Raw genomic sequence first — 21,874 nt, 5'->3', positions numbered from 1 at the left:
GGAATATTATTCAGCCTTAAAAAGGAAGGCCATTCTGGCATGTGTTACAACATAGATGAACCTTGAGGGGATTATGCTAAGTGAAAGAAGCCAGACAATAAAGGACAAATACTGTATAATTGCATTTTATTTATTTATTTTAATTTTTATTTATCCATTTATTTTTTTTTTGAGGCAGAGTCTGCCTCTGTTGCCCAGGCTGCAGTGGCGTGATCTCAGCTCACTGCAACCTCTGCCTCCCAGTTTCAAGTGATTCTCCTGCCTTAGCCTCCCAAGTAGCTGGGATTACAGACGCCCACTACCACAACCAGCTAATTTTTTTGTATTTTTAGTAGAGATGGAGTTTCCCCATGTTAGCCAGGCTGGTCTCAAACTCTTGACCTCAGGTGATCCACCCGCCTCGACCTCCCAAAGTGCTAGGATTACAGGTATGAGCCACTGCACCTGGCTCATTTAATTAATTTATTTATTTGAGATGGAGTCTCACTCTGTTGCCCAGGCTGGAGTACACTGGTGCTATCTCAGCTCACTGCAACCTCTGCCTCCCAGATTCAAGCAATTCTTGTGCCTCAGCCTCCCGAGTAGCTGGGATTACAGGCAAGTGCCACCATGCCTGGCTAATTTTTGTATTTTTAGTAGAGACACGGTTTTACCATGTTGCCCAGGTTGGTCTCGAACTCCTGACCTCAGGTGATCCACCCACCTCAGCCTCGCAAAGTGCTGGGATAACAGGCATGAGCCACCGCACCCGGCCAACAAGTTTATTTTTATTTATTTATTTATTTATTTATTTATTTATTTTTTTGTGACAGAGTCTTGCTCTGTCGCCCAAGCTGGATTACAGTGGCATGATCTCGGCTCACTTCAGGCTCCACCTCCTGGGTTCATGCCATTCTCCTCCCTCAGCCTCCCGAGTAGCTGGGACTACAGGCGCCCGCCACCATGCCTGGCTAATTTTTTTTTTTGTACTTTTAGTAGAGACAGGGTTTCACAGTGTTAGCCAGGATGGTCTCGATCTCCTGACCTCGCGATCCACCTGCCTCAGCCTCCCAAAGTGCTGGGATTACAGGTGTGAGCCACCATGCCCAGCAACAAGTTTATTTTTTAAAAAACGTAACACAGACACTGTCTCCTCTATGAAACCTTCTGATCCCCTCATTAGGGGATGAGTGTTCCTCTTACAGGACCCCCACCCAGCACCATCTGGTTCTATCAGTACACCATTGCATCATTTTCTCATATTGTAGGGATGCACACTACATGTAAGGTAAAACATTTAGTATCTTTCCTATTTAGTTGTTATAACAGTTATTATAACATTGATCAGTTGTATTACACTCATTTGTCCTAGCTGTCCTTCTAGATAACAAAGTCGTTGAAGACAGGAACTGTCTTTTTTATCTGTATGTCTCCTCAGACTTGCCAGGCATTCGCCACATGGGTTTATCCAATCACGAACTGAAGTTAAGTGGATAATTCCTGGACGCCTAGAGAGGGAAAGAAACTTTGGAGACTAAGGAGAACATTGCGTCCATCCTGTTGGTACTTGCAGCGTGTGTATAAAGTGCACCGCAAAATTCTTGCACATAGTAGGCATTCAATAAGCAGTAGTTCTTTTCCTTTTTCCCTTCATTTTACAGAGAAGGGAATTGAGACCCACAAAGGTGAAGTAATTGGCTCAGAGTTAAACAGCCTGACAACAGAAGAGACAAGCACCGCATCTTCCGGTCTAGTGAGTCTTTTTTTTCCTATAACATGGGAAACATGGAACGTGGGAAGGACCCTTGACCCCAATAGCAATAGGTTTACAAATAACTTTTTATTATGGAAGTTTCAAACATACTCAAAAGTAGGGAGAACAGCATAATGAGCCCTATATACCCATCACTCAGCTTCAACAATTACCAACTCTTTTTCCATCTTTTTCATGTACATTTCCTCCACCCTTCACCCCCAACATTTTACAAGTTCTAACTGTATTTTTCATGAAAAAAAGTTTAATGTGTTTCGTCTCTAGAAAGGATGAACTCAGCTGGAAAAGATTTCATTCAGATAACACCTCAATTCTTCTATTAAAATATATTAGACATCAGATCCTCAAAACACCCACAATATTTATAGGCCTTTAGAATTTTGCCTAAGTGTGCATGCCAAAACATAAGTAACAACTGATTCTTAATCTCTAGAGATCAGTGGGCTTCTTCCAACGCTTATTTCTCTGTTGACTTTTCATTCCCCTATATTATCTTTCTCAGTCTGTTTAAATTATCCTCTCTATCCGCCTCCAAATGCCAACCTTTGTGCTTTTCTTTGTATAGTTTTCACTTCCTAGAATGCCTTCTTTCTTCCAAAAATCTAACAATCCTTCAAGATCCATTTCAGGAACTTTATACGACCTAAAACCTTCTTAGATGATCTCACCCTTAGAATGACATAGGGTTTGATAGTCATAGCAGTTTTGCACTTTATTATTATTATTTTTGAGCCAGAGTCTGGCTCTGTTGCCCAGGCTTGAGTGCAGTGGCGCGATCTCGGCTCACTGCCAACTCCACCTCCTGGGTTCAAACGATTCTCCTGCCTCCGCCTTCCGAGTAGCTGGGATTACAGGCATGTACCACCACAACTGGCTAATTTTTTTTTTTGTACTTTTAGTAGAGACAGCGTTTCATCATGTTGGCCAGGCTGGTCTCCAACTCCCGACCTCAGGTGATCTGCCCACCTTGGCCTCCCAAAAGTGCTGGGATTACAGGCGTGAGCCACCATGCCTGGCCTGCACTTAATTATTAATTGTTCTGCATGTATCAGTTTTGCCATCTTAACAAGATTTCAGGTTCCTTGATGACAAAGATTTTGTCTTAAAATGTTTTTTTGTTTTAGTCTGGGCAATATTGTTAAACCCTGTCTCTACACGAAAAATATAACACCAAAAAAATACAATAAATTTACCTGGTGTGGTGGCACTTACCTATAGTTCTAGCTACTTGGGAGACTGAAGCAGGAGGATCACCTGAGCCCAGGGAGTTTGAGGCTGCAGTGAACCAAGATTGTGCCTCTGTATTCCAGCCTGGGCGACAGAGTGAAACCTCGTCTTAAAAAAAAAAAAAAAACCCAAAAAAAACCAGAAACAAATTTTGTGCGTGTGTGTGTGGATATTTCCTCTCATTCCTCCTACCCCTGTTCTAAGACCACTGATGGTGGGAGCATGGACTGGGTTGCTCATCATAGTTTGTTGATGAATTTTGCACACTCACATTTTGGGCCACTCATATACTCTTACAGTGGCGTAGTTGGACTTAGGCAGTGGTCTTGCCAAAAACATCAAACTTGAATCTGAGCTGGTCTCTTGATTTAACTTTCAGTATTCAAGAAGACAAAGGTAGGGCACTGTGGCTTATGCGTATAATCCTATACTCTGGGAGGCCAAGGTGGGCAGATTGATTGAGTCCAGGAGTTTGAGGACAGCCAGGCCAACATGGTGAAAGCCACATCTGTACTGAAAATACAAAAAAAAAAAAAAAAAAAAAAATTAGCCAGGTGTGGTTGTGCATGCCTGTAATCCCAGCTACTCGGGAGGCCGAGGCAGGAGAATCGCTTGAACCTGGGAGTTGGAGATTGCAGTGAGCCGAGATCACACCACTGCACTCCAGCCTGGATGACAGAGCAGGACTCAAAAAAAAAAAAAAAAAAAAAAGAGAAAAACAGAGAAGACCCCATAAGGATGTGTGTGAGGAGCTAACTATTTACTGTGGAAAACTTTACAGGAAAAGTTTTTCCATGAATAAATTGTAATGGGGAAAAGCAGGAGGCTGGCAGGGAATATGTAGGTTTTTAAAAGACCTGCTCACCAGCCACAGTACGTGAACCTTATGTGGCTTCTGATGCAAGCAAACTGAACAAAATTTTTGATATTTATGAGAAAATTTCAACACTTAGTGAATAGTTTATGATATGAAAGTTTTTTTGTTAAAAAAAAAACCCCTACCATTTAAAAATTTGTGGCCAAATATAAACACACAACATAAATTTTACCATTTTATCCTTTTTTTTTTTTTTTTGAGACAGTCTTGCTCTGTCACCCAGGCTGGAGTGCAGTGGTTTGATTTCAGCTCACTGCAACCTCTGCCTCCCAGGCTCAGGCAAGTCTCCTGCCTCAGCCTCCTGAGTAGCTGGGATTACAGGTGCGCACTACCATGCCTGCCTAATTTTTGTATATATATATATATATATTTTTTTTTTTTTTTGAGACAGAGTTTTGCCCTTGTTGCCCAGGCTGGAGTGCAGTGGCATGATCTCGGCTCACTACAACCTCTGCCTCCCGGGTTCAAGCAATTCTCCTGCCTCAGCCTCCTGAATAGCTGGGATTACAGGAGCCCGCCACCACGCCCAGCTAATTTTTGTATTTTTGGTAGAGACGGGGTTTCACCATGTTAGCTAGGCTGGTCTCGAACTCCTGACCTCAGGTGATCCGCCTGTCTTGGCCTTCCAAAATGCTGGGATTATAGGCATGAGCCACTGCTACCGGCCACCATCTTAATCTTTTTTTTTTTTTTTTTTTTTGAGACAGAGTTTCACTTTTGTTGCCCAGGCTGGAGTGCAATGGTGCGATCTCCGGCTCACCACAACCTCCTCCTCCTGGGTTCAAGCAATTCTCCTGCCTCAGCCTCCCGAGCAGCTGGGATTACCGGCCACCAAATCCAGCTAATTTTGTATTTTTAGTAGAGACGGGTTTCTCCATGTTGGTCAGGGTGGTCTTGAACTCCCAACCTCAGGTGATCCGCCTGCCTCAGCCTCCCAAAGTGCTGGGATTACAGGTGTGAGCCACCGCGTCCAGCCATTTAAATCATGTTCAAGTGTACAGTCCAGTGACATTAAGTCCATTCACATTATTGTGCGACCATCACCTCCATCCAATGGCAGAATGGTTTTCATTTTCCAAAATCGAAACTCTGTGTCCACTAAATACTAACTGCCCATTCCCTCCTCTCTCCAGCTCCTGGCAACCACCATTCAATTATCTGTCTTTATGAATTTACTACTCCAGATACCTCATATGAGTGGAAGCAGACTATATTTGTCCTTTTATGTCTGGTTTATTTCATTCAGCACAGTGTCCTCAATGTTCATTCATGTTGTAGCATGTGTCAAAAGGGTTTGCTGTTGTTTTTTTTTTCTTTTGAGATGGAGTCTCGCTCTGTCACCCAGGCTGGAGTGCAGTGGTGCGATCTTAGCTCACTGCAACCTTCGCCTCCTGGGTTCAAGCAATCCTCCTGCCTCAGCCTCCCGAGTAGCTGGGACTACAGGCAAGTGCCAGCATACCTGGTTAATTTTTTTGTATTTTTGTATTTTTTATTTTATTTTATTTTATTTTATTTTGAGATGGAGTCTCGCTCTGTCGCCCAGGCTGGAGTGCAGTGGTGCAATCTCGGCTCACTGCAAGCTCTGCCTCCCAGGTTCACGCCATTATCCTGCCTCAGCCTCCCGACTAGCTGGGACTATAGGCACCTGCCACCATGCCCAGCTAATTTTTTTGTATTTTTAGTAGAGATGGGGTTTCACTGTGTTAGCCAGGATGGTCTCAATCTCCTGACCTCATGATCTGTCCGCATTGGCCTCCCAAAGTGCTGGGATTACAGGCGTGAGCCACCGTGCCCAGCTGTATTTTTTAATTTTATTTAACTTATTTATTTTTTGAGATGGAGTCTCACTCTGTTGCCCAGACTGGAGTGCAGTGGCATGATCTCGGTTCACAGCAGCATCCACCTCCCGGGTTCAAGCAATTCTCCTACCTCAGCCTCCTGAGTAGCTGGGATTACAGGTGTGTGCCACCACGCCCACATAATTTTTTTGTATTTTTAGTAGAGATGGGGTTTCACCATGTTGGCCAGGCTGGTCTCGAACTCCTGACCTTGTGATCTACCCACCTCGGCCTCCCAAAGTGCTGGTATTTCAGGTGTGAGCCATTTGCCTGGCCTTTTTTACTCTCCTAGAGACAAGAAATAACTCTGTCACCCAGGCTGGAGCGCAGTGGCGGGATCATGGCTCATTGCTGCCTTGACCTCCTGGGCTTAAGTAATCCTCCCACCCCAGTCTCCTGAGTAGCTGGGACTACAGGCACGTGACGCTACATCCAGCTCATTTTCTATTTTTTAGTAGAGATGGGGTCTCACTATGTCGTCCAGGCTGGTCTGAAACTCCTGGCCTCAAGTGTTCCTCCTACCTAGGCGTCCCAAAGTGCTGGGATTACAGGCATGAGCCACTGAGCCTGGCCTGGTTGTTTCTTTCTTTTTTTTTTTTTTTAGGGGTAGTAATTATTTTAGGTTTGTTTTTTAAAAAAGAGAGAGATCTGATTTTTTAGAAATATTTTGAAAATATTTATGGATGAAATTATAAGAAGTCTGGGGATTGCTTCAAGATAACATTGTCGTGGGGTGAGTGGGTGGGGTCCAGTTGAAATAAGATGGGCCATAAGTTATTAATTGTTGCAGCTGTGTCACGGGTGCATAGGGGTTTCATTATATGATAGCTATTTTGATCTATGTTTGACACTTTTCATAATTAATTATTAAAAAGCACACACACGTATCTGGAAGGGCATGTGTTATTCATTTAACTCTGCTCTCCTGAACGTGACCCCCTCCCGCCTTTTCATTTGCAATGAGGACCTTTGTGGTCCAGGAGGATGGTGTCTGTTCTCTGCTGAAGCAGGATGGGGGCCTGTCCAGAACTGTTTACACTGGCACTTTGGGCCCAGTGATACACTGCCAAGGTTGCATATAAATTAGGTATCCCTTAGCCACCCTGGTTGATGGATTTATCTGGCTGTGCTGCTTAGAATTTGGGTAGGTGTTTAGAATCCAGACACACAAAGTCAGAGGATTTGTCCTTGTGCCCTTTCCTTGCATGCATGGATTTATTCAGCATTACCCAGGCTGCCTGAGAGGGGCCCATGTGAGTAATGCCAGGTGACCCTGCCAGTACACCCCATCTTCATCTTGGGCTTGACAACTGTCAGGGGGACTTTACGTGAGGGGAGTGGAGGGGAGGGGTGGTAAAAAACAGCCTCATTGTATGAAACTCCTTAAGAGCCTGGTCCATCCTCGGGGGGAATAGAAAGTAAATTGCTTCCCTTTAGGAGCTGAATTAACTCTTTCAGGCCAATAGAATTAGTTCAGTAATCACTATCCCATTGCCTTAGGATTTCCCCGAATGGTATTTTTAATGAACCATGCCTCCCTATTGCTACCAATGCCACAATTTAACAGAATTGACTGGTAAACTCAGCCAACAACAGGTTTCACTAATTTTTTCCTTCTCGAAATAGACCAGGTGTTCTTGTGAAGGGATCAATTGACTGCTTGTTTCAGAACTGAGAAGGCGCAACCTCATTAGAGGCCGCCAGTAGATGAGCCCTCTAATCCTTATTCATTTTCAGAGCAAGAATTGTAGTGTCTTGCACTCCAGCCCGTCAGCTAGCCTTTTGTGTTGCTATCAAGTCTTAGTTCCTTGTTTCCAATTTGCTACATAATTTCTCTTCTGGCTGGTAGCTTCAGAGAAAAGGAGTAACAGTAAGCAAGTTTTAACTGACAGGTTTTGAAACCTGAAAGTTAAACATCTAGACAGGTTAGCAGTTGCATTTAAAAAGCTTTAAAGAAGATTGCAGTTGAATTGATTTCCAACTTCGCAGGCAGCCGTGTTTATAATTGAACAGCTCTGAAATTCGAAGAAAAGGTCTCCTTTTATTTGCTAAATATCTCATCTCCCCCCTCAGCACAGAAGGTTGGAGAAATGGGAAAAAATAAGGATTTGTATCCTTTTAATTAAAAGTAATCTTGGGAAGTTTTAGGGACTTCTTTCCACTCTCTTTAAAGCAGGCAAGTAGAGAACTTGCTTACAACTGGCCTTTTAAAGAGAAGCTGTCTAAGACAGAAGGGTTGAGGCCTGAAGTAGGTTAGTAAATGGCTCCCATTTGAGAGATAAATTTACTGAGACCATTGGAGTGTCATTTACTACCTTGGAAGAGATAATTAAACCAAATATTAGCCTGGTGTCTTGAAAGGGTTAACTCATCTCTCAAGGCCATGCAGTTGATTTCTCGACAGCACTTTATTCACCTCAGCCACCTCCCCCAGTCCCAGGATGGAGCCCTTTGTCCCCAGCTCCTCTGAGCTGGGGCTGTACAGCTGGAATCAAACACGCTGGACTTCCCAAAGAATTAAGCGCCTTCAGTATCAGGCTCTGTTCTGCACAGTTCCCCCAAGGAGGCTACAGTCTGTTGGATGTTAGCGCACAAATTTGTCATTTGCGCAGCTGCTGTGTGCTGGTTAGCTCTTAATAAAGCCATACATTCATAAAGGGAGGAAGGCACCATTCCTCGGCGTGTGGGCTTTGCAATCAGGCACACTCAGGTTTGGATCCTGACCCTGACCGTTACCAGCTGGGTGACCTTGGGCACGTTATTTAGCAACTCTAAAGGTTAGTTTCTTTCTCTACAAAATGGGATGATAGGACCACATCCCTCTCTGGGAGCTAAGACCTCGAGGAGGAAGGCTCAGGGAGTGCTCGTTGACTGAAGGCGTGTATTGTGGCTCAGGGCCTGGTGCTGAATGAGTTCTCCATGGCTGTTAGCTACTGCTGTTATTATTATTGTTGTTATGAAATCTTCCCTATCTTCTCTGTGAAGTCTCTATGGGGTTCCCTAGAAAAAGCTAATGCCTCCCCACTGTGTTCTCATCACAGTTTGCAGGTGCCACTAGTATAGCTCTTACCACGTTGTATTATAACTGCTTGTTTCCCCCACCTTGACAGTTGTTGTAGAAATGAAAATAATGTATGTGAAACACTAAGCTCCGTGCCTGGCATAGAGGAGGAGATCAATAAATGTAACTTCATTTTACTTATTAAGATTCTCACTTAGTAGACACAATTTTTTCCAACAAATGCTCATGGGATATCTACTGTAAGTAGATACTATTACTTTCCCCATTTCATAATGGAGGAAAAGAAGGCTTGAAGTGGTCAAAGTTACCCAAAGCCAACTAGAAGTAAGGAATAGAGGTAGGATTCAAACCCAAGTGAGTGAGAACTGGGACAATATGCTATTGATCTTTGCATTCTTATTTTTTTATTTTTATTTTTTCAGAGATGAGGGGGTCTCACTGCTTTGCCCAGGCTGGTCTCGAACTCCTGGGCTCAAGCAATCCTCCCACTTCAGCCTCCCAAAGTGCTGGGATTATAGGCATGAGCCACCTCGCCCTGCCCTTGATCTTTGCATTCTTAGCACCTAGTGCAATTCCTAACGCCTGGCAAATGCTCCATAAATATGGAATGGAATGGATGCTTTAGAGTTAGTTGTCATTCTTCGTCCTGCCGAGCTAGAAAAGACCCAGTGACTCTTGTTTTTTTGTTTTGTTTTGTTTTGCTTTCTCTTTGAGATGGAGTTTCATTATTGTTGCCCAGGCTGGAGTGCAGTGGTGCAATCTCGGCTCACAGCAACCTCCGCCTCCCGGGCTCAAGCATTTCTCCTGCCTCAGCCTCCCAAGTAGCTGGAATTACAGGCATCTGCCATTACGCCTGGCTAATTTTTGTATTTTTAATAGAGATGAGGTTTCCCCATGTTGCCCAGGCTGGTCTCAAACTCCTGAGCTCAAGGGATTTGCCTGCCTTGGCCTCCCAAAGTGCTGGGATTACAGGCGTGAGCCACTGTGCCCAGCCTCAAAGTGGATCTTAAAGCAGAGGCTGATACACGTTTTTAACTTGCACATTTTGGGTTTTTTTTTTTTGAGACAGAGTCTCACTCTATTGCCCAGACTGGAGTGCAATGGCGTGATCTCGGCTCACTGCAGCCTCTGCCTCCCAGGTTCAAGTGAGTCTCCTGCCTCAGCCTCCCAAGTAGCTGGGATTACAGGCATGAACCACTACACCCAGCTAATTTTTGTATATATATATTTTTTAATAGAGATGGGGTTTCACCATGTTGGTCGGGCTGGTCTTGAACTCCTGACTTTGTGATCCGCCTGCCTCGGCCTCCCAAAGTGCTGGTATTACAGGCGTGAGCCACCGCACCTGGCCACATGTTGGTTTTTTAATATACCATTTACCCTGTGAAAAATGGTCACTTATCTTGAAGATGTTGTATTCACTTAAGACTCCCACTAGAGTGGCCACGGGAATATTGTTCATGAATTTGTGGCAGAATGAGACTCATCAATAGCTTGCCTAATAAATTAAAAGGATACCCAATATCTGCCTTAAACCCACAAAGGAATATAAATTTGCAGCAAGAGATCAAGACTCTAATGAAGGCAGCAGGAGACGGCTTTAAAGACAATTCCCTGTTGCAACTTGATGATGAAAATCAGTCTTAACTGTGCATTTAATTTCTTTTGTGGGTTCAAAGCAGATCCCTAAAGTTTTATTCGAGGAAGGTTAATCATGATAGTCTTTGGAGCCTATAATGCTTCTAATATTGGGTAGAGTGAGTAAAAGATATTTGTGTGAATAATATTTTGCCTTTTTAAAGTTAGGTGTTACGTAGAAAAAAAGAACCTGCAAAAATACTATCTTTGTAGACATCTTTGAAGAAATAAATGTGGGAAAAGATGTAGGATTCATTAATACACAGCATTTATTTGTAAAAAATGCCTTCCTAACTTTCCACAAATCCCATATTTCCTAAGCAAAATTCTATATGTTAAATATGGAAAGGAACCTTTTTAAATAAAAAGGAAATAAGGGTGGCCAGGCACGGTGGCTCATGCCTGTAATCCCAGCACTTTGGGAGGCTGAGGCGGGCAGATCACATCAGGTCAGGAGTTCAAGACCAGACTGGCCAACCTGGCGAAACCCTGTCTCTACAAAAATACAAAAATTAGCTGGCATGGTGGTGTGTGCTAGTAATCCCAGCTACTTGGGAGGCTGAGGTGGGAGAATTGCTTGAGCCCGGGAGGCAGCGGAGGTTGCAGTGAGCTGAGATTGCGCCATTGCACGCCAGCCTGGGTGACAGAGTGAGACTCCATCTCAAAAAAAAAAAAAAGGAAATAAGGAAAGGAAAGAAGAGCAACACCAAAACTTTTTCCTTGATGAGGTGGTAGAGACCTATTTAATGCAGAACAACATTTTAGAAGTCCATGCCAGGTGCATAAAATTTGTGCACCCTTCCTTTCCTTTTTCTCATTGATTTCCCTTTTGGTCCTTCTCGGTGCCTTTCAGGAGTGGCTTAAATTGTCAAATACACCATAATTCATGAGTGTTTATCTTTGATTCCACATCCCCCTCACCCCAATCCCACATCTTCAATTCTTTTTCTTAGAAGCAGAGTCTTGCTCTGTTGCCCAGGCTGGAGTGCAGTGGCATGATCAGGGCTCACTGCAGCCTTGACTTTCCAGGCTTCTGTGATCCTCTCAGCTCAGCTTCCCAAATAGCTGGGACCACAGGCGCACACCACCATGTCTCGCTAATTTTTATGCATTTTCTTTTTTTGTAGAGATGAGGTCTTGCTATGTTGCCCGGGCTTCATCTTCTACTCTTGCTTCCTCTTTATTTCTCTCTAGCTCTAAGCCAGAAGTCGTTCTACTTCACTGTGCATAAGGATCAAATGAGAATTTGAGTTAGAAATTCAGTGATTTCTGGGCCGGGTGTGGTGGCTTATGCCTGTAATCCCATCATTTTGGGAGGTCGGTTTGGGCGGATCACTTGAGGTCAGGAGTTTAAGATCAGCCTGGCCAACATGGTGAAACCCTGCCTCTACTAAAATACAAAAATTAGCTGGGCATGGTGGTGCACTCCTGTAATCCAAGCTATTCGGGAGGCTGAGGCTAGAGAATTGCCTGAATCCAGGAGGCGGAAGTTGCAGTGAGCCAAGATCGTGCCACTGCACTCCAGTCTGGGTGACAGAGTGAAACTCCGTCTCACACACACACAAAAAAATAAAAATAAAAATAAAAAAAATTAAAAAAAAAAAAAAAGACGAAATTCAGTGATTTCTGTGTTGACATCCAGGAATCGTGAGTTTTGCCAAACATCCTAAGTATTGCTGTTGTAGGTGTTGAGATATACTATTAGGTTATGGAGTAAGACTTAAACTATCACCAGGGTATTTTCATTTTATTAAGAGAACAATGATTCTTTAATTGTAGAATTACAGGCATCAGTAATCCTTGTGGCTAGAGGGTTTCTTCCGAGGAGGAGCTTAGACTCCTGACAGATCCTATTGTAAGGCCCCAGTTCTCCCTTCCCTTCTGGCTCCCTCTTTACCCCTACTAATTAACGGAAGCACTGGGGGTGCGATAGGGGGTGGGGCCGCTGAGGTCTAAGGGTTTCCAATCAGTCTGTGGTTTAGAATTCAAGGGCTCGGAGAGTCAATGTTCATCATTCTTTGGTAGATGACTTTTCATCTTTGTTAGGCTTTGAAATTTTAACATAAACTGAAAAGTAATCAAAATCTGTATTCAGCACTTGCCTTACATACAAGAAGTTCCTTCTGTAACCTGAGTTAAAGAGAATTGACTTGGTTTTCAAAAATGGCTCCATCCGTCAACATAGCTGAAATTCTACCATTACAAATGATGGCCTTTGGACCCTGGAAAATTGTTAGGCCTCGAAAGTCTAACAATTGATAATGCATACACTTCTAGGTCAATATCACCTTAAACTGGAGCCAGTGAACATTTTGGTGGTAGTCTAGGATGATTGGAATTGGGACCATAAAAAGTGGGAAAGAATAGGAGAAAGAGAATTCTTATTGACTCTGAACACATAAAGAAATAAAATATTTAAATTAAAATTGGTTCATACCTGTAATCTCAGCACTTTGGGAGGCCGACGTGGGTGGATCACTTGAGGTTAGGAGTTCCAGACCAGCCTGGCCAACATGGTGAAACCCTGTCTCTACTAAAAATACAAAAATTAGCCGGGCATGGTGGCACATGCCTGTAATCCCAGCTACTCAGGAGGCTGAGGCAGGAGAATCACTTGAACCCAGGAAGCAGAGGTTGCGGTGAGCAGAGATCATGCCACTGCACTCCAGCCTGGGGAACAGAGTAAGACTCTGTCTCAAAAAAAAAAAAATTAATTAATTAAAACAAAAAATAAAAATAAAAAAGAAAGAGTGGCTCTTTGGATGAATCTCATACAAACTCTGAGAAACTCCTGACTAGGCACAGTGGCTCATGCCTGTAATTCCAGCACTTTGGGAGGCCCAGGTAGGTGGATCACCTGAGCTCAGGAGTTCAAGACCAGCCTGGCCAACATGGTGAAACTCCGTCTCTACCAAAATTACAAAAATTAGCCAGGCGTGGGCAAGCGCCTATGGTCCTAGCTACTTCGGGGGCTGAGGCTGGAAGATCCCCTGAGCTAGGGAAGCAGAGGTTGCAGTGAGCCAAGATTGTGCTGTTGTACTCCAGCTTGGGCGGAAGAGTGAAACTGTCTCAAAAAAAAAATGCATGTTTATTCTACATGTTTTCTTTTTTTCAAGCAAGAGATCAGGTAATCTTTTCTGATATCAATATACAATAAGAGAACAGCAGATATATTTAGTATGATGTAATACATATTGAAATCAATTACAAATGTCAGTTTTATTTATTTATTTATTTATTTATTTATTTATTTTTATTTTTTATTTTATTTTATTTTTTTTTTTGAGACGGAGTTTTGCTCTTGTTACCCAGGCTGGAGTGCAATGGCGCCATCTCAGCTCACCGCAACCTCCGCCTTCCAGGTTCAAGCTATTCTCCTGCCTCAGCCTCCTGAGTAGCTGGGATTATAGGCATGTACCACCACGCCCAGCTAATTTTGTATTTTTAGTAGAGACAGGGGTTTCTTCATGTTGGTCAGGCTGGTCTCAAACTCCTGACCTCAGGTGATCCCCCCGCCTCGGCCTCCCAATGTGCTGGGGTTACAGGCCTGAGCCACCGCACCCGGCTACAACTGTCAGTTTTAAATATTAATGTCTATTGTACCAAATTTGGGATCTCAGGAGAAAGTATTCAACATAATTTAAAATGCCGAGGCTGGGCTTGGTGGCTCACGTATGCAATCCCATCATTTTGGGAGGCCAAGGTGGGCGGATCGCTTGAGTTCAGGAGTGCAAGACCAGCCTGGGCAACATGGTGAAACCCTGTCTTTACAAAAAATACAAAAATTAGCTGGGCATGGTGGCACGCGTGCCTGTGGTCCTAGCTACTTGGGAGGCTACGGCAGGAGAATCACTTGAGCCAGGGAGGCAGAAGTTGCCGTAAGCCAAGATGGCGCCACTGCACTCCAGCCTGGGTGGCAGGAGTGAAAGAAACCCTGTCTTAAAAACAAAACGAAACAAAAATATGAAATTATTATAGAAAAGGATATTTTCAGGATAGAAGTGTGTATTTGAGTCATGCAAGTTGTACTCAATTATGCTGAAGCTGTAAAAGACTCTGAAAATGATCTCCTATTGGACATTTATAGAAATAACTTCTTTGAGGAGTCACAGATAGCCTTTATTTTTCTCTCTCTATTCTCTCTTTCTCTCTTTCCTAGGTCAGTAAATTTTCTCTTTTTTTTTTCTTTTTTTGAAACGGAGTCTCGCTCAGTTGCCCAGGCTGGAGTGCAGTGGCACGATCTCGGCTCACTGCAAGCTCCACCTCCTGGGTTCACGCCATTCTCCTGCCTCAGCCTCCCAAGTAGCTGGGATTACAGGTGCCCGCCACCACGTCCGGCTAATTTTTTGTACTTTTAGTAGAGACGGGGTTTCACCGTGTTAGCCAGGATGGTCTTGATCTCCTGATCTCGTGATCCGCCTGCCTCGGCCTCCCAAAGTGCTGGGATTACAGGCGTGAGCCACTGCGCCCAGCAATTTTGTACCAAAGTTACTCCTAGGGTGGGCATGGTGGCTTATGAATGTAATCCTAGTACTTTGGGAGGCCAAGGCAGAAGGCTGGCTTGAAGATAGGAGTTTGAGACCAGCCTGGGCAACATAGTGAGACCCCATATCTACTTAAAAAACAAACAAAAAGCAAAGTTACTCCCAGTATGTATGCAAACCAAGTTGGCTTCTGAGTTGAGAATGTAAGATGGACTCCAGCATGAAGTTCTAAAAGACACACCCCAGAGGACCAAGGCAGCATACACCATTATGGCTTTCTGTTTTGGTGTGGCTCTGAGGAATCTGATGACCTTGGCAAGTTATCTTTGAATGTCTTGGTTCCCCATCCGATAACATGGAGATAACAATGCCTGCTATTCAAAAAGGATTCATAAGATGCCATTTATGAACTTTACTGAAGTCTTTGATAAGAGTATCTTTTTTTTTGTGAGATGGAGTCTCGCTCTTGTCGCCCAGGCAGGAGTGCAGTAGCCAATCTTGGCTCACTACAACGTCCGCCTCCCGGGTTCAAGCGATTCTCGTTACTCAGCCTCCCAAGTAGCTGGGATTACAGGCACCCGCGACCACGCCCAGCTGATATTTTTATTTTCAGTAGAGACGGGGTTTCCCCATGTTGGCCAGGCTGGTCTCGAACTCCCTACCTCAGGTGATCCATCCGCCTCAGCCTCCCAAAGTGCTGGGATTACAGGCGTGAACCACCATGCCCGGCCAATAAGAGCATCTTATAACTGCTATTGTTTCTGTTCTCATTAGCATTATTTTAGTTATACATCATGGCTTTAATTTGGCTTCAAAGGCTGTAGTCTGTAGCTATTTTATAAGAACTGAGTGTTTTTAATGTTACTCTGAGACAAGGTGAAGGGGAAGGAAATTTCCCCTAAAACCACGGTAACAATTATATTGTGGTAGATTGAAACTTTCTGTTGAGGCCAGGCACGGTGGCTCACACCTGTAATCCCAGCACTTTGGGAGGCCGAGGCAGGTGGATCACTTGAGGTCAAGAGTTTGAGACCAGCCTGGACAACATGGTGAAACCAATTCTCTAATAAAAATACAAAAACTAGCCAGTCATGGTGGTACACGCCTGTAGTCCCAGCTACCTGGGAGGCTGAGGCATGAGAATCGCTGGAACCCAGGAAGCAGAGGTTGCAGTGAGCCAAGATCTCACCAGTGCACTCCAGCCTGGGCAACAGAGCGAGACTCCATCTCAAAAAAAAAAAAAGTCACTTTTTAGCGCTGGTTTTACAGGGAAGCACAAGTTGCTAAACTGTGAAGGATTCTAGTAAGATATGTTGTAGACGTGGCAAATGAGCAATTCTTATTCAAGGAATTAAGGCTGCAACAATTTGAGCCATGTATGTTATGTGAAATCAGATTTTTTTTCAAAACAATTTATGGAATTTGTGTTCTTATTTATTTATTTATTTATTTATTTTTTGAGACGGGGTCTTGCTCTGTCACCCAGGCTGGAGTACAGTGGCGCGATCTTGGCTCACTACAACTTCTGCCTCCCGGGTTCAAGCAATTCTCCTGCCTCAGACTCCCGAGTAGTTGGGACTACAGGTGTGTGCCACCATGCTTGGCTAATTTTTGTATTTTTAGTAGAGATGGGGTTTCACTATGTTGGTCAGGCTGGTCTTGAACTCCTGACTTCGTGATCGGCGCCCCCACCCCCACCCCCACCCCTTGGCCTCCCAAAGCGATGGGATTACAGGCGTGAGCCACCACGCCCGGCCTGTGTTCTTATCGTTTGGGCTCTAAGGTGTGGTGATCACAAGTGCAAACAAATTTTCAACCGTGGATATGATTTTGATACTCTATCCAAGCCACCAAGTGTGTGCATTTTGCTGGGAGAATTGCACACTCTGCAGCAGCCCCTTGCACACTGATACCTGTGCACGGCTGTAATGGGAAACATTTGAGTCTGGTTGCAAAGATTTGCTTAGTGTGAAATCTGTTCCTAACACAATGGTCAGATGGAAAGGAGTTTCATTACATGGCTGGGCATTTCTTCTTTCTTTGGGGAATATAAAAGGTGAATGCAATACTTTCCAGTTTAAAGTTACCACAAAACGTCATAATCGTAACCTCAAAATCTACTCCAAAAATTATAGAGAACCAGAGGCCTTGAGCTGGCGGCAACTGCCTGTTTGATCTTGATTAAGTTCCAAAAAGCCAGTGAGAGTTCAAAGCAGGGCCAGGGGCGACTCCACACTTTAATCCCTGCTCCTCTTTCCCTTCCCTCTTCACTCCCGCTCTCCATCCTTTGCTATGAACTGCAGTATATATGCATTTCAATAACCCTGGACACTGTAGATTCTAGAACAATGAGGAAAGCGTCTCTCCTTATTGATACTGACAGGCCTTTCGGTCAGAAAATGTCCCTCAACAGATGTTAGAAAATGTGGTCATAAGCCAGAAAGATATGTGTTACAATTTTTAAGGCCTTTTTATTTCCAACTCTCTACATTCCATTGGATAAGGTGTAATTTTTCTCTTTCTTTCTTCAGAAATCCCTCTCGAGGGTTCAGGATACAGGAAAAGTAGTTATGCCTGAAGATAAGTTGCTGACTTCGCTTCTACTTCAGTCACCCCTTTCTGATCTTCCCAAGAAGAAATAAAGAATGAACATTAAGGACAATTATGAAGCAATACCCACAATAAAACAAGAATGAGATCATTTTATTATTCAAGGTACTATATTTGGAAATTGAATAATGCCTTTTTTTTTCCAGTCTAACCACTCTGGATGTTATTTCAATCCAATTATTTTGTTGGAAGAAGTTTTTAGATTATTTTAACTCTGGCTAATGAATACATCCCATTGATATTAAAAAGAACTGAGTTGGGCACTGACTTTGAGGGCCCAGAAGTGAATTATTGTCTTAGAACTGACTTCATCTGAAATTCACTTACTATCAAATGGGCAACCCAGCATAGAATTCACACTAAAATTCCTAATGATGACACAATCATTCTTTATAAATAAATAAACCTGGAGTTTTAACACTATACTATAATGTCTTCTTCTTTCCCAAGAAAATATATTTTCTATAACATGAACCAAGTAAGTATGACAAATAAACAATGGAAAAGAGGAGAAAAAAACAAATGCAAATAGTATGCTGACACAGGTGACAGTGATGACAGTTGTATGTGGCTTTGCTTCCGAGTCACCCAGAGCCCAAGTGAGTCCTCTACTTGCTGAAATAAGCATTCCCACCAGGCGTGGTGGCAAAGGCCTGTAATCCCAGCACTTTGGGAGGCCAAACAGGAAGGATTGCTTGAGTCCAAGAGTTCAAGACCAGCCTGGGCAACATAGTGAGACCTTGTCTCTACAAAACATAAACAAAAATGGCTGGGCACACTGGCTCACGCCTGCCTGTAATCCCAGCACTTTGGGAGACTGAGGTGGGCAGATCATCTGAGGTCAGGAGTTCGAGACCAGCCTGGCCAACATGGTGAAACCCCTGTCTCTACTAATAATACAAAAAAAAAAAAAAATTACCCGGGTGTGGTGGCATTTGCCTGTAGTCCCAGCTATTCGAGAGGCTGAGGCAGGAGAATTGCTTGAACCTGGGAGGTGGTGGTTGCAGTGAGCCGAGATCGCGCCACTGCACTCCAGCCTTGGTGACAGAGTGACTCCGTTTCAAAACAAAACAAAGCAAACCAACAACAAAAAAGAATGCATGGTTAGAGTGGGGAGGCCTGATAACATGACTGCAAGTGAAATTTGAGTGTTATGGCAGATAGTATGTATCTCATCTCACATATTCTTTTTATAATGTGACACTGACCTTCCTCCACTGAGACAGGTTGTTCCCTAACTTTGACCTTGGGAAAATCTTTATAACTGCCTCAGCAAATACAATGTGATGGAAATGATGAGATTTGATCTCTGAGGCTTGTCATGAAAGTCCATATAGTTTTTGGCTGACCCCCCTTTCCCCGCTCAGGGATGCTCACCTTTGGAACACAGACACCATGTTTGAGAAAGCCCAGGTCCACGTGGAAAAACCACTTGTAGGTGTTCCAATCCATAGCCTTAGCTAAGAAGGGTTGCCTGGGTAGATGGAGGATGGAACAAAGGTGAAGAAATGAAGTCAATATGCTTCTACTCAGGAATTAACCTACTCCATGAAGAGTACTGCATTTCCATATATATCAGGCACTGTTCTAGAAGCTGGGCCAGATGTGGTGGTGTGCACCTATAGTCCCAGCTACTCTGGAGGCTGAGGCAGGAGAATCGGTTGAGCCCAGGTGATAGAGGCTACAGTGAGCTATGATTGTGCCACTGCACTCCGGCCTGAGTGACAGAGCAAGACTCCATTTCCTTTTTTTTTTTTTTTTTTTGAGGCAAGGTCTGGCTCTAGCACCCAGGCTGGAGTGCAGTGGTGCTATCTCTGCTCACTACAACCTTGTACCCCCCAGCTCCCCACACCTGACTAATTTTTGTTTTTGTTTTTGCTTTTTTTTGAGATAGAGTTTCACTCTTAGTGAAATAGTCAGTGGGATGTCAGCTCACTGCAAACTCTGCCTCCCAGGTTCAAGCGATTCTCCCGCCGCAGGCTCCTGAGTAGCTGGGATTACAGGTGCCTGCCACCACTCCTGGCTCATTTTTGTATTTTTAGTAGAGATGGGGTTTCGCCATATTGGCTAGGCTGGTCTTGAACTCTTGACCTCAAATGATCCGCCCGCCTCAGCCTCCCAAAGTAATGGGATTACAGGCATGAGCCACTGTGCCTGGCCTGACACGTGTTGATCCTTAATAAACATCTTATACCCCAGACTTTATCTTAGCACCTGCTTCTGGAGAACCCACATGCAACAGAGCATTCTCTTGCCTTTGGTCGATTTGTATGTTTTTTGTTTGTTTGTTTGTTTGTTTTTTATTTTTTGTTTTGTTTTTGGGGGCAGGGTCTTGCTCTGTCACCCAGGCTGGAGTGCAGTGGTGTCATCATGGCTCATTACAGCCTCAACCTCCTGGGGCTCATGCAATCGTCCCCCCTCAGCCTCTGGGTAGCTGAGACTATAGGCGCATGCCACCACGACTGGCTGATTTTTTTTTGTTTGTATTTTTTTTAGAGATGGGGTTTTGTCATGTTGCTCAGGCTGATTTTTAACTCCTGAGCTCAAGCCATCCACCCATCTCGACCTCCCAAAGTGCTGGGATTACAGGCATGAGCCACCATACCTGGCAATTTGTAGGGTTCTTTATCATTGATTACTTAACTATTCACCAAGTTAACTTACAATGTTTATTTTGTTAAGGCTTTAAAATATTCCATTTTGGGCCAGGCACCGTGGCTTATGCCTGTAATCCCAGCACTTTGGGAGGCCGAGGTGAGTGGATCATCTGAGGTCAGGAGTTAATCAGTCTGGCCAATTGAAACCCTGTCTCTACTAAAAAATACAAAAATTAGCCAGGCATGGTGTTGCATGCCTGTAATCCCAGCTACTCAGGAGGCTGAGGCAGGAGAATTGCCTCCATCTGGGAGGTGGAGGTTGCAGTGAGCCACGATCGTGCCACTGTGCTCTAGCCTGGGTGACAGAGCGAGACTCTCTCAATATATATATATTCCATTCTGATTATGATTCAGGAGAAAAGTGACTATTCTTAATGAAGATCAGGCTGAATATCATTGGAGTGCTCATTTGGAAAGGTTGGTAATACCTTTCTCATTGCTGCTAGTAATATATATTTGGCTGAAATAAGACTTATTTTTCTGAAATTACTGCATCAACTGGTCATATACAGATTGCTGATTTTCTATTTTCTCAGCCACCATTCTGCTTTCTTTCTTTTTTTAGTGAAATTATTTATTTATTTTTTATTTTTGTAGAGATGGGGGTCTCACTATGTTGTCCAGGATGGCCTTGAACTCCTGGCCTTAAGTGATCTTCTTGCCTTCGCCTCCCAAAGTGCTTGGATTACATCTGCTGTTTTCTGATAATTTGATATGAATCATCAAATGCCCTGAAAAGAAAAACTGCAGCCAGGCATGGTGGTTCATGGTTGTAATAATACCAGCACTTTGGGAGGCCAAGGTGGGAGGTTCACTTGAGACCAGCCTGGGCAACATAGTGAGACCCTGTCTCTACAAAAAAATTAAAAAATTAGCTGGATGTGGTGGCGTGTACCTGTAGTTCTACTACTCTGGGGCATAGGTGGGAGGATCCCCTGAGCTATAGAGATCAAGGCTGCAGTGAGCCATGATTGCACCACTGCACTCCAGTCTGGGCAGCACAAGAGAGACCCTGTCTCCCCTACCTCCCCACAACCTGCCCCCCTCCCCAAAAGAAAAGAAAAACTGCTACAGATGACTAATATCAGGCTCACACCTAAGATTCCCTTCTCTATGGAATCTTGCCCCTTCAGGTCCTGGATGCCTTGGTACCACTCTGATGACACCCAACAAACGGTTTCCCCCATCTCCATTTTGTTCATATATTCCTGGAGAGACTGTGTTGGTCTGTTACAAATTAATCTGCCATGGCTGGAGGCAGAGTTGTCAAGGGTTCCCTTCCCCTCAATTCATTAATTTTAACCAATAGAGGTGATTTCAAAGAGTAGATGTTATCTTTCAGTAAAGAAGAAGAGGAACTCAGATTAAAAGGTTAGTAGAAAAAAAAGTTAGCTGTTTTTGATAGGACTGAGCAGGTTCTGGAGACGTATGCATTGCTTTTTCAATTGCAATTGTGTTTCTTAGATTCATCCTTAATTTAAAAAAACATGACTTTTACTTATGCACAAACACATTCAAATCTTAGTTCTTCATGTTATTAGTTTTTGTTTCCATTTGTCAGTTTTTTTAATCTCATTACTTTAGTTACAACCTAATGAAAGAAAAGTCATCATAAATCAAATTTTCAAGAATTTAGGAACTCATTCCTTTATTCGTAAAAAATATTTAAATTTCTAGTTAACTCTCAATTATTTACAGTAACAAGTAGGACACCTTTCTTTTCATAATTTAAATCAATGAATATTTAAAATTATCTTTGGCTTTGGAC

General features: G+C 43.6%; 1 long non-coding RNA gene across 1 annotated transcript in view, besides 1 other annotated feature; it reads left to right on the top strand.

Annotated features, from left to right (window-relative positions):
- The first annotated feature begins 1,659 nt into the window (after positions 1-1,659).
- LOC105374946 (uncharacterized) overlaps positions 1,660-21,874 on the top strand; it is a 33,129-nt gene continuing 12,914 nt past the window's right edge. Inside the window, exons 1-2 of the long non-coding RNA XR_926520.1 lie at positions 1,660-1,732; positions 17,371-17,554. This is a non-coding gene — a long non-coding RNA (uncharacterized LOC105374946). The remainder of the gene's footprint in view (positions 1,733-17,370; positions 17,555-21,874) is intronic.
- Positions 2,128-2,328: a silencer, noted in NCBI's record as "peak5677 fragment used in MPRA reporter construct". NCBI's record gives its function as "represses an SCP1 promoter by STARR-seq MPRAs in K562 erythroleukemia cells {active_cell/tissue: K562}" and the evidence as "EXISTENCE:reporter gene assay evidence [ECO:0000049][PMID:32103011]".

The sequence above is a fragment of the Homo sapiens genome, chromosome 6 (assembly GCF_000001405.40).
Source record: "Homo sapiens chromosome 6, GRCh38.p14 Primary Assembly".
NCBI classification, from domain to species: Eukaryota; Metazoa; Chordata; class Mammalia; order Primates; family Hominidae; genus Homo; species Homo sapiens.
This window is presented reverse-complemented; position numbering and strand designations above follow the sequence as displayed.